Source organism: Homo sapiens, chromosome 8, assembly GCF_000001405.40.
Source record: "Homo sapiens chromosome 8, GRCh38.p14 Primary Assembly".
In the NCBI taxonomy this organism is placed as follows: Eukaryota; Metazoa; Chordata; class Mammalia; order Primates; family Hominidae; genus Homo; species Homo sapiens.
This window is the reverse complement of record NC_000008.11, coordinates 67,028,569-67,041,225: the sequence shown is the minus strand read 5'-3', so window position 1 is coordinate 67,041,225 and position 12,657 is coordinate 67,028,569. Positions and strand designations below refer to the sequence as shown.

Here is a 12,657-nt window from a genome sequence, read left to right as displayed (position 1 = left end):
GATTAAGATGAGGAAGCCAATTAATATCCAAATACTTGGTTGCTGATATATTAACATTTTGGTCTGTTTTATATCCCTTTAAAGGAGGCAACCCCCCCCCCCCAGTTTCAGATGGCACAACCTGACCTCTATTTTTATGCCCTTTAAAACAAAAATCATGAGCCAGGAGCGGTGGCTTATGCCTATAATCCTAGCACTTTGAGAGGCTGAGGTGGGTGGATCGCTTGAGCTCAGGAGTTCAGGACCAGCCTGGGCAACAAGGTGAAACCCTGTCTGTACAGAAAAAAAGAAAGAAAAACATTTCTGCCTCCAAAGAACAGCCAAGATCTGCAGTTACTGCCACAGATAGATATAGCAACACCAGCATCATATTGAGTCATTCTCGGAAAACAAATGAATTGAGGTTTCTCTCACAGACATGAATAAATGGTTAAGGTTTTGACATGAAAAAGTAAGGAGTCATTGAAGTCACCATGAAAACATATTAGCAGTTTTCATTCCAAGACTTGAATACAGTTATTCATATTTAATTTGGCATTCCACATTTAATTTGACATTGGTGAACTTATTATCTTGGAGGCTGGGCACGGTGGCTGGCGCCTGTAATCCCAGCACTTTGGGAGGCCAAGCTGGGCGCATCACTTGAGATCAGGAGTTGACTTCAAGTTGACCAAGTTGACCTGACTTGAATACAGTTATTCACATTTAATTTGACAATCCACATTTAATTTGACACTGGTAAACTTATTAAGATTATCTTGGATGCTGGGTGCAGTGGCTTACGCCTGTAATCCTAACACTTTGAGAGGCCGAGGCGGGTGGATCACCTGAGGTCAGGAGTTTGAGACCAGCTTGGCCAACATGGCAAAACCCTGTTTCTACTAAAAATACAAAATTAGCCATATGTAGTGGCGCATGCCTGTAGTCCCAGCTACTCGGGAGGCTGAGGCAGGGGAGTGCTTGAACCCAGAGGTGGAGGTTGCAGTGTGCAGAGATTGCGCCATTGCACTCCAGCCTAGATGACAGAGTGAGACTCCGTCTCAAAAAAAAAAAAAAAATTATCTTGGTGGGATGGAAAATACCTATGCTTACAACAGAGAATTACCAGGGAAAGAAAGCTTTTCAGTCCTAATTTCATTGGACTCATTTTGAGAAGCGTCAGTATTTCAGTAATGATTCCTTGGTTGGAAGTAACCACAAAACAAAACAAAAAAGTAACTTAAAAAGAATATATTAGCTCATTGTCAAAAAAAAGATTCTGACTTCACTCTGATTGACCTAACAGGTCATGAGCCCACCTCTGGGATTACATATAGCAACTGCTGAGATCAATTAAGGGCTACTTCTAGAGCTGGGAATAGGGACAATAAACCAAAATGCACAAGCAGTGGGTCAATTGATGCCACAGACACAACCACCAATGTCCCCTCAAGCAACCACCCAGCCCAGGCAATAACAGCCCCAGAGTGAGGCATTTGCATTTCATTTAATGTAGCTACTTTACTAAAGAGATCCTTTACAAATATTTTTAAGCACTTCTTTACATTTTAATCTATTTTCATGATTACTTTTAGTATTAGTGTTCAGTTTATAACATTGAGCTTTTAGGAAATCAGGGTTCAATTTGCAGCCACCATTTAGAAACTAAGTTGGGGTTGACTAAACTAAGTTGGGGTTGCCTTCTCCTGCAAAGCATTGTCTTACAGCCTTGAGCTACTTAAAGTTGAAAAGGCCATTTTTCCCAAGTGAAGTCTGTTTTTTGTTCAGTTTCAAATTTTTCAGAGATAATTTCCAAAGCTCTTTGGTGATAATATACAGGAAATGTCAATTATCATAAAAAATCCCAATGTTCAAGTAATAAAATGAGCCACAGCAGGACTAGAAGCCCAGGCTGGAACAGAGATGGAGTGAGAAGTCACTGGATATGGAATGGGGATTGGAGCCAGTTAAGGAGGACAGTGAGATACCAGAATCAAGGATGTTCCAAATTTTCCAGCTTGCTTTAATATCTCAAGGTCCTAGTTCCAAAAAGTCAACACCATGACCTTATATATATTGTTGACATGTACAATATGCCTGTAATACCATTTTATGTTACACTGTCCAGTTATATGAATACTTCAATCTGCACGTTTTATTTATTGATTAACAACAACACACCACGCAAGTACTGCCAAGAACAAAAAAGCCAATAGGGGAAGAATAGCTGTTTGCGCTCCATTGTTTCTCAATTTGGAAAATAAGCTCTGAGACCAAACATCATGTGCTCTGTTAGAGGGATCAAGTCTGAAGATTGTTGTCACAAATTAGTATGACTACCTTGTATTCAGGACTTTGAAAAATCACTGCATTGCACAATAGAATAAACTGCCCCACAGAGCAGCCACTTAAAAATAAACACAGAAGAGAGCAGGAGCATAAGGAACTTTACAGTGAATCAGAGAAACTGTTGGAGGGTAGGTGTGCTGCATATTGCAGAGTTTCAAAGTTTCCAAAAACTGTTCTGTGAGTGATGAGGTACAGATGCACAAGCCATGCATGCAGAGAAGAGTTCATTTATATTACTAAGTCTGCACTGTATCCACATGTAGCTGAGTAAACTCAACTGAACACAGATTGTTAAGTATCCAAGGTTTCTATATTTATGGATTGTTTTAACTATAACTTAATATACCTATATGGTGAGTAATGTGGTTTTTTGTTCTAGTTTTGAAGACAGGAAGATACACTACACAGAATGACAGCTTTTATTTTTGCTCATTCTTATAAAATATAATTCTGTTTAAATTATAATGAGATCATAATGTCATTCACTGTTTAATAATCGATGTATCTATGCCATTGTATTCATAAAATACTTGTTAGAAAATTGCAAGTCTAGTTGTGTGTTCTGTCATTTTGGCCTATTTTCAGTACAAGCTCCAACAGCAAATAAATTTACTTTCTTGGGGCCAAAATGCTAGTTTAAGTAACTACTTCTGAGATAATCAGTCTATAGGTTTCTAAAGGTTTCTAAAATTTTTATCTATATACTACCAGAAGAAATACCATTTATCTTTGTAAACATAAAGTTATAACGTACTTTAGAAATCTAATAACACAAGAAACTCAGGTCAACTGTGACCAGATTGGCATACTTAAACTTTTGATCTCAGAAATAATATTACAAAAATAAAATCAGGAACTCTATCATTTCAGGTCATTTGGGAGGAAACAGCTAAAATCATAGCTTGATAACTAACACCAATGATTAATTGCTTTTTCAACATGTGGATTATCTTGGTGCCAAAAATTATGGAACAACTGCTTAACAAATTGGAGAGTCCCTGATGTCAATGCTCATATTTTCTTTGGATTATACTAAGCAATTATGCTAAAGTTTCTAATGACTGAGTAAAATGGTATTTGTGCCTTGGGCACATTTTGATGAACTACAGTTGTGCTTTTCAAAACCTAAGAGTCATATGCTTTAAAAAGTATATTGTCTACAATAAATCTTGGTTTAGACTTTATATTAGATTTCAGAGGATTATTATATGTACCTATTGTACAACTATAAATATGTTTACCATTGATAGTTGTTACTTTAAACTACTTACCTTCCTGAAAAATCAGTCGGTATAAATTCATCTCCAAATAAATGTTTAACTTATATGATTCATTTTTGTTCCTAGCACTTGCTACTTCATACTCCATTCTTAAATTCAGTTGAATTTATTCTGTGTATCATTGATGTTGCTAAATAAGTCCTTTAAAACACATATAGAATTAGCTTTAACTTTTTACTTCAACTCCTATATAATCCATCTATCATTTCTTGCATATCTTTTCAGTATAATTGAAGCTATCTTAAGGTTCTGGGCTTAGAAAATAAAGTAACACAAACTAGGCGAATAAATTAATATGCGATTTTGTTTGTTTGTTTGTTTGTTTTGAGATGGAGTTTCACTCTTGTTGCCCAGGCTGGAGTGCAATGGCGCAATCTCGGCTCACTGCAACCTCCGCCTCCTGGGTTCAAGCGATTCTCCTGCCTCAGACTCCCGAGTAGCTGGGATTACAGGCATGCGCCACCGCGCCTGGCTAATTTTGTATTTTTTAGTAGAGACGGGGTTTCTCCATGTTGGTCAGGTTGGTCTTGAACTGCCGACCGACCTCAGGTGATCCGCCCACCTCGGCCTCCCAAAGTGCTGGGATTACAGGCCTGAGCCACCGCGCCTGGCCAGAAATTAATATGTGATCTTATATGTGAGGACACATCATGTTGAATAAGTACAGCCATCTGAAAGGTTCTGTATCAGCACTCTAGGAAAGGGGGTAAAAGTTTTATAAAAAGAAGAGTTGGGGAGGGGAGGGAGAGAGAGAGAGGAAGAAGAAGAAAGAGAAGAAAGAGAAGAAGGAGAAGGAGAAGAAGAAAAGAAGAGGAAGAGGAGGGGGAAGAAAAGGAAGGAAGGAAGAAGGGAGGGAGGGAGGGAGGAAGGAAGGGGAGAAAAGAAAAAAGTGAAATGTTCTGTAGCTTGAAGAAAGTTACCTTGATAGGCCACTGATGTCAGAATTACAAATGAACACCACTTTTTAGGGAAGATTATGAGTCTAACTAGTCTTAATATTTAAGGTAAACACTACATCACTTAAAACTATGGAATGTTGAAATGGTAATTCATATAGACAGACATCAACATTATAGACTTCTAGTTATCCCAAGATCTGAAAATAATTAACACATGCCTTACCTACACCAGAAAGCAAAACTAAAACAACAGCTATATTGAATCTGACAATTGGGAACACAAGTTGAAATATATTTCCAAGTTCTCAAGACCCTCCTGCTTATATTTCTAAGGGCATCCTTAATACTATTAATTACACTAATATCACACTACAAAAACAGTATTTTTTCATCTTATAAAGTAGCAACTGCTCTCTCCTTCAAACTCTAAATATAATACATACAATAAAGTTAGTTTTTTCCTGTTAACAAAAGGAAAATTTACATTCTGCCTTATGAGTTAAATACTATGACATATTAATACCAAAATCCAAATTTCTCACTGTGACCAAAAGGCCCTTTACATCTGATTCCTACTTTCCTCTCACCCATTCTCCCACTCCTTCACTGTCTTCCACCCACACTGTCCTCTGGGTCCTTATGCTCACCCAGCTCTTCCCCACTCCAAACCTTCACAGTGGCTGCTTTCTGGACCTGGAACACTTCCTTGCAGGCTCTCACACACCTGGCTCCTCATTCTTGTCTCAGTTCAAATGCCCATCTCCCTCATCTCAAGGAAATACCTTTCTCCTTCCCTTCTTCCTCCCTACCCCAGTTACACAATTTCATTACACTCTATTTCTTTCTTTCACAGAATTTACTGCAATCTCAAATTATTTGGATGCTTGATTTATTAGTCTGTCTCCCCTTTCTAGAATGTAAGCTCCATGGGGGTGGGGACTTGTTCTAACTCACCTTTGTATCCCCAGCACCTTAAGCAGTGGCACCTGGCAGTCAACCCATAAATATCTGTTCAGAAAAGAAATAACTTACTGCACATATTTTTTTTGCTTTTCAGAAACATCAACAATATACTGCATTTTTAGAGGAGGAAATTAAATGTGCCCACACTTTTTTTTTTTTTGGTTTTTGTTTTGTTTTGTTTTGAGACAGAGTCTTGCTCTGTCACCCAGGCTGCAGTGCAGTGGTGCGATCTCGGCACACTGCAAGCTCCCCCTCCCGGGTTCACGCCATTCTCCTGCCTCAGCCTCCCCAGCAGCTGGGACTACAGGCGCACGCCGCCATGCCTGGCTAATTTTTTTGTATTTTTAGTAGAGACGGGGTTTCACCATGTTAGGCAGGATGGTCTCCATCTCCTAACCTCGTGATCCACCCGCCTCTGCCTCCCAAAGTGCTGGGATTACAGGCATGAGCCACCGTGCCTGGCCTGGTACCCACACTTTTAAAGTGACTTTATTTTTTTAGAAATGGGGTCTTGCTATGTTGCCCAGACTAGGGTACAGTAGCTATTCACAGACACAATCATAGTGTACTGCAGCCTCAAACTCCTGGGCTCAAGCAATCCTCCTGCCTCAGCCTCCCAAGTAGCTGGGTCTACAGGCATGCACCACTGTGACTTTTGTTACACTGTGAGATCATTATAAAAATAAGTACTTTTTACCGAAACTTCTTAAGAGGTTTAAAATAGGAGTAAAAAAAAGCCTTATTCTATAAAGGATCACTACTGTAGAAATATATAAAAGGACACACTACTATTAAAAAAGCACCAGCCACTTACAAAAACAATCATGGAGGAGTGGAACTCTTTTCAAATGAGCTTACCAAAAAAAGCAAACAGGAACCAAAAAGTGAAGCAATTAAATAGAGGTATACAGATATATAACATGTTTTCACTTATTTTATTTTGAAAGATATGAGGATAGAGTATATTACATTGCTGAGTTTCACTCTTAGCCCCTATCCATCACAAACTAATTAAACTTTTGCTGAACTTATTATTGGCCTGATAAACTGAAGCAAATTTGGTCTTGAATCTCCAGAGGTTCCCCATCTCTGGTACAAAAGACAGTTTTTTTGAAATTCCTAAAACATAAGCAGGGAACTGTTCCTGAAACCTAATCTAAACTTTTTCTAAAATTGTATGTGCATGTCTTGCAAATGCTACCTGAAAACTCAAACTAAAATTTTAGACTCTATTGACAATAAATGTTACAGAAATTGAGATAAAACGTTACTTAAATTAGAGTGCTAGCGGCAATGTTTACAAAATACTTTTCAGAAAGCTTCTTTTCACTTTAAGGTAAAATCTTTTTACTTTAAGGTATAATATTAAATGTGTCTTTAGGCTGGGTGCAGTGGCTCACACCTGAAATCCCAGCACTTTAGGAGGCCGAGGCAGGTGGATTGCTTGAACCCAGGGGTTCAAGACCAGCCTGAGCAACACGGTGAAATCTCATCTCTATAAAAAATACAAAAATTAGTCGGGCATTGCAGCACACCTGTAGTCCCAGCTACTCGGGAGGCTGAGGTGAGCGAGCTATTGAGCCCGGAGGGTCGAGGCTGCAGTAAGCTGTGATCCTACCACTACACTCTAGCCCGAGTGACAGAGACCCTATCTCGAAAAAAAAATGCGTCTTTAAGGTAATGAAACTGATTTTCAGCTGAGATCCTTAATTTATAGCCACATCTCACATGTTATATTTATTTCAATTTGATCCTCTAGTGATGAGTGCAAGTGAACCATTTTAGAAAAGAGTCTATATTAAACATAATAGAACTGTAAAAATAGAACTTGAGAAAATCTTTGTGTATTAAAATTAATATAACTTTTAAAAATAGAACTTCACAAAGTCCTTTCACATCTGTTGTTAGTTAATGATGGGGACGTGGAGAGAAAGCTAGATTTGAAAGTCATGCTGAGATTAAGTGGACATGGTTTGGTGACTAGTATTAATATGTGAGAGTACTGGAGATGGCTCTCAGGCTCTACATCTGTAGTAGGGTGAACTGTGAGCAAGACAGGATCTAGAGAAAGTCTATCAGATTTGTGAAGGATGGAAATGAGTTCAGTTTTGACAGCTTGAGTTTTCAATGCCTCCAGGACATTTATATCCAGGTGGAATGAATGTCTAGCAGCCAGTTGGATGCATAGGTCTGGAACGCAGAAGAAATACCATGGATTGTTTTATATATAATCTATGTAATAATCATTTATATTTATAAAATACAATATATAATAAATTACATAAATCAGTTACTAAATTATTTTTTAAAAATCACTTATTATTAGGGCTCATATTGTGTACATCATGGCCTTAGAGGGCTCTTAGTATCTTCTACAGAAGCTCCCAATGAAATGATCATCTTCAGGTTACAGGATACCTTGAATAGAGACTGCTTCATCCATAACCAAAAGGGTTTTGTTTGTATTGATTCTACAGCTTGCCGCTTCTGATAGATTAGATAGATAGATAGATAGATAGATAGATAGATAGATAGATAGATCAATATATACTTGCTTAACTAAGCTTCCTGTAGTCACTTTCTTTTCTCTCCTCTGAGTTTCCATTTGAAATGTCCTATAAAAATAGGAATAATGTCCCAATTTTCTGAATAAACCTCTCCTTAAGGGAATTTTCCATTGCTCCTATTAGGTATTTATTGCTATATAACAAATTGCAAAACTCAGTGATTAAAATTACACATATTGTTTCACAGATTTCGTAGGTCAGGGATCTAGGTCCTCTGCTTCAGAGTCTCTCTCACAGTGCTGCTATCAAGGTGTTGGCTACGGATGAGATCTCATCTGAAAGCTCAACTTCCTAGCTCAGACAGTATTTGTTGGCATTTAGTTTCTCATCGGATTGACAGTCTCAGTTCCTCACTAGCTGTTGGCTAGAGACTATCCTCAGATCCTTGCCATATGTGCTCTCCTAAATGGCAACTTGTTTTTTCAAAGACTGCAAGCCCAAAATGTAATAAAGTCTGCTAACAATACAGAAGTTACAATCTTTTGTAACCTAATCACAGAAAGATAGTCTATCAGCTTTGCCTTATTCTATTGGCTAGAACAGGTCAGTAGGTCTAGTCCACATTCCAGAGGAGAGGATCACACAAGGGCCTGGATATCAGGAGGTGAGATCGCTGAGGCCATCTTAGAAGTCTGCTTACCATATAACTAATATTTACCAATCTACAAGATCAAGACAAAAAGAGGCATTAACAAAAAATTTTTCTTTATGGAGTTATGTGATGTTACGCATGTCTGGGCCCTTTAACTTGCTGGTTTCTCAATGAAAGATAACTAATCATTAAAACTGGTGTGCTGTATGTACTCTGGAAGGTCAAGAAATACATACGGGCTACAAAGAAAAATATATGAAATATAAAGTATGTTTCCGTCTAAGGTTTCTTGGAAACTCTAGTTGAGGCTTTTACAAATGTGCTTTTTAGCATCATTCTTCCAAAAGTACCTTTTAAAATGATTCTCAAGGCTTCACAATATATATATTTTTACAAATACTTATTTCCCAACATCTGTAAAAGTGTAAATCTTAGAGTATTTTATGCTGAACTTACAAATTTGGTACTGAAGACAAGTATTTCTTGCAGTCTGCCAAATTTCTGCCACACTGGAAAATACACAGATGATTGTTTAACATTCTGTGCCATCAGACAGGAATTATATTTCACATCTTTTTTTTTTTTTTTGAGACGGAGTCTTGCTCTGTTGTCAGGCTGAAGTACAGTGGCACGATCTCAGCTCACTGCAACCTCTACTTCCCAGGTTCAAGCGATTCTCCTGCCTCAGCCTCCTGAGCAGCTGGGACTACCTGGCAATACAGGTGGGTGCCACCCTACCCGGCCAATTTTTTTATTTTTAATAGAGACAGGGCTTCACCATGTTGGCCAGATGGTCTCGATCTGCTGCCCTTGTGATCCATCTGCCTCGGCCTCCCAAAGTGCTGGGATTTCAGGCGTGAGCCACTGCACCTGGCCTATATTTCACATCTTAATGAGAAAATACTTTCTCTTAACTTGTTGCATCAAAAAAATAATTAGAAATTCGGCTGGGCACGGTGGCTCACACCTGTAATCCCAGCACTTTGGGAGGCTGAGGCAGGTGGATCATGAGGTCAGGAGTTCAAGACCAGCCTGGCCAAGATGGTGAAACCCCGTCTCTACTAAAAACATAAAAAATTAGCCTGGTGTGGTGGCGCGCACCTGTTCTCCCAGCTACTTGGGAGACTGAGGCAGGAGAATCACTTGAACCCAGGAGGCAGAAGTTGCAGTGAGCCGAGATCGTGCCACTGCACTCCAGCCTGGGCAACAGAGTGAGACTCCGTCTCAAAAAAAAAAAAAAAGAAAAAGAAAAAGAAAAATTAGTAATTCAAACCACTGTAACTACCAGCAGTCACAGAGACATTTTCAATTCCATGAACAGTGGAATCCAAAATAAATTTTCAGAATGTAATTTTATCATTAAAAAAAAATCTTGTTAATAAAAATAGGAGAAAAAACAATCATAATTCTATCACCAAGAAACAACCACTATTAAACATTTTGGTATATATCTATATGTATATCCTTTTAGACATTTAAATATGTTTTATTTAAATGTTATTTAATTTAAATATGTTAAATGTGTTAAATATTACCACAAATGAAATAATACTCCGTTTTATAATGATATATGCAATTGTTCCAAAAGGAAGATTTCCAGAGCAACTGATTTTCAATGAGGCATTGCTAAACAAGGCTCCTAGCAAAGTAATGCTAGCGGCAAGTTGACCAAGTGCTACACAGAGCAATGGACCAGCCCTGCATCATTGTTAAAGCTGTTATCCCCAAATGAATGAACTACAAAACAGATAATTGAGGGGCATCTAATTCGTACCCCTCTAGTAGTGTTTTAGCCATATTACGTTGATCATTCTTTTCTTTCTTTCCTTCTTTTTTTTTTTTTTTTTTTTTGACAGAGTCTCGCTCTGTTGCCCAGGCTGGAGTGCAATAGCGCAATCTGGGCTCACTGCAACCTCTGCCTCCCAGATTCAAGCAACTCTCCTGCCTCCAGCCTTCCGAGTAGCTAGGATCACAGCCGCACGCCACCATGACCAGCCACCCTTTGTATTTTTAGTAGAGACGGGGTTTCACCTTGTTGGTCAGGCTGGTCTCAAACTCCTGACCTCATAATCCACCCGCCTCAGCCTCCCAAAGTGCTGGGATTACAGGCATGAGCCACCATGCCCAGCCATTCTTTTATTTCTTATCCTTCTGTGGCTTTTTATTCTGTTAGGTACCCCCTCTTTAAACTCCCTCCCCCAGTGTCTGAATCTGAATTATGAGTTTCGGAATCACTGAATTATTGTACTTCTCAGGACAAATCTTACCTCTGATGATTCTTTCTATACCATCTTTACTAGTTTTTCTTCCCTCTTTTATCCAAACTAGTTGGCATAGCTACTAACCCACTATTTCGCTTTCCTTATTTTCTCCCTCCCTACCATTTATGGCCTCATGGTTTAAATAATCAGCTTTATATTGGAGACTATTAAAACCTTTCTCACCTCACACTTAATGTATGTAAACCAAACTCATCCACTTCCCCTCAAATTACTCACCATCTCTCCTCTTTCCCCAGTATTGTTCCTTTATCATAGCTAACATCTGGGAATTATCTTCAACTTCTCCCCTCCCTTTATACTATCCAGTCTCTATTAAATCATGCTTCAAAATATCTCCTAAATTTTTTCATTCTTTTCCACTTTCTTTGCCTTCACTCCAACCCAGGCCAAGATTGCTCTCACAACTGGACTTAAGCAAAAATATCCTGAATGGGGTTAGGGCTCCTTTGCCACCATTCCCCCACCTTCCTAGGATACTCTTATTGTAATGGTCAGGGGGATAAAATGAAAGGAGAAGTGGGCTTGAAATCAGGAGGCCAAGAAGTTCCCTCTCTGTCACCCCAGGTGTGACCTTGAGCATGTTTCTTTCTTCTTTTGAGCCCTGGGAATTTCCTTATCTGCAAAATGGCAATTTGGATTACCCTCATGAGCTCTAAGCTGCCTTGCATTCTAACAATCTTCTGCTCTGACACGTCTTTGCTCAAAGAATGGCAATGACGACCTTTTCTCCACCAGAATCACAGCTGGTACTCAAATGTTTTCCAGCTTGCATTGTCCCTTACATCCAGACTGCTCACTTCACCATATCCCTAATGAGCCCCAGGCTTTCCACTATAAATGTCAGTTCCCTGTACTATTGTTCTTCTTCTGCAATTAAATTACTCATTTTGCAAACATTTATGGAGTAACTATTAATGAACAAGGCACTTTGCTAGGTCCTGGAAATAGCGAGGTAAACCACATAATCCTTGCCCTCAAAGAATTTACCACCTCATTGGAGATATGGCTAAGTAGCTAACATGTAATATTGTATTAAGTGCTATGCTGGAAAAAGTAATACATCTCAGCTGTTTGGGGGGAAGAAAGGGCATTACTTAACAAGATGGGATACCCAGGAAGACTTCGGAAAGGTTGCACTAATTCCAAACTGAGTCTTTAAATCTTAAAAGGAAAAATAAGACTGAAGGAGGTGAGAAAGTGTGTGCTATGCCTACCTTGAAGGGCGGAGAAGAGAGGGGAATTATTATTATTTTTATTATTAAGAACAGGGTATACTGAAAAACACTGGAGTGTAGAGGGCAGGCGGCAAGCGGTGAGGTTGGTCATGATAAATGGCCCTCAATGTCACCCTAAGGAATTTGAGGTTTCACCGAGGAAAGGATGGAGTACAGGCTGTATTCTGAATCAGATAATTCCTTTCCTGGTCTGTTATTGGGAAAAGGTGGTTGTTGGGCACTGAAACGGTCAAAGCCGATGGCAGGATAATCCGGTAGGGGGAAATGGTGGTCTGCCAAAAATTGTTCCGGCTACTAACTGGTCCACTAAAACAATGCGGTGACCGATGCCTCACGGCCTCTTCAAGCTAACAGGACTCTAGTCGGAGTCGGCCTAGTGACCACCGTCAGTGCCCATCAGCGCCCGGCCGCCGCCTCACAGGGGAAGGACCCACCGGGGAGGGAGCAGCCTGCGATGTCGCGAGATTTCTCGTGAGCGGCGCTTGGACAGCGCGTCTGGTCGCCCAGCAAC

General features: G+C 39.4%; 1 long non-coding RNA gene across 2 annotated transcripts; it reads right to left on the bottom strand.

The window, feature by feature from the left end:
* Positions 1–3,613: 3,613 nt before the first annotated feature.
* LOC105375885 (uncharacterized) lies at positions 3,614–12,648 on the bottom strand. Of its 2 annotated transcripts, none has more exons than XR_929017.2 (4): positions 12,581–12,648; positions 9,086–9,138; positions 5,462–5,515; positions 3,614–3,749 (listed from the first exon to the last, which is right to left on the bottom strand). It is a non-coding gene; the product is annotated as an uncharacterized LOC105375885 (long non-coding RNA). The 2 variants fall into 2 exon arrangements; XR_929016.2 differs by lacking the exon at positions 12,581–12,648 and adding an exon at positions 12,126–12,565.
* Positions 12,649–12,657: the final 9 nt, after the last annotated feature.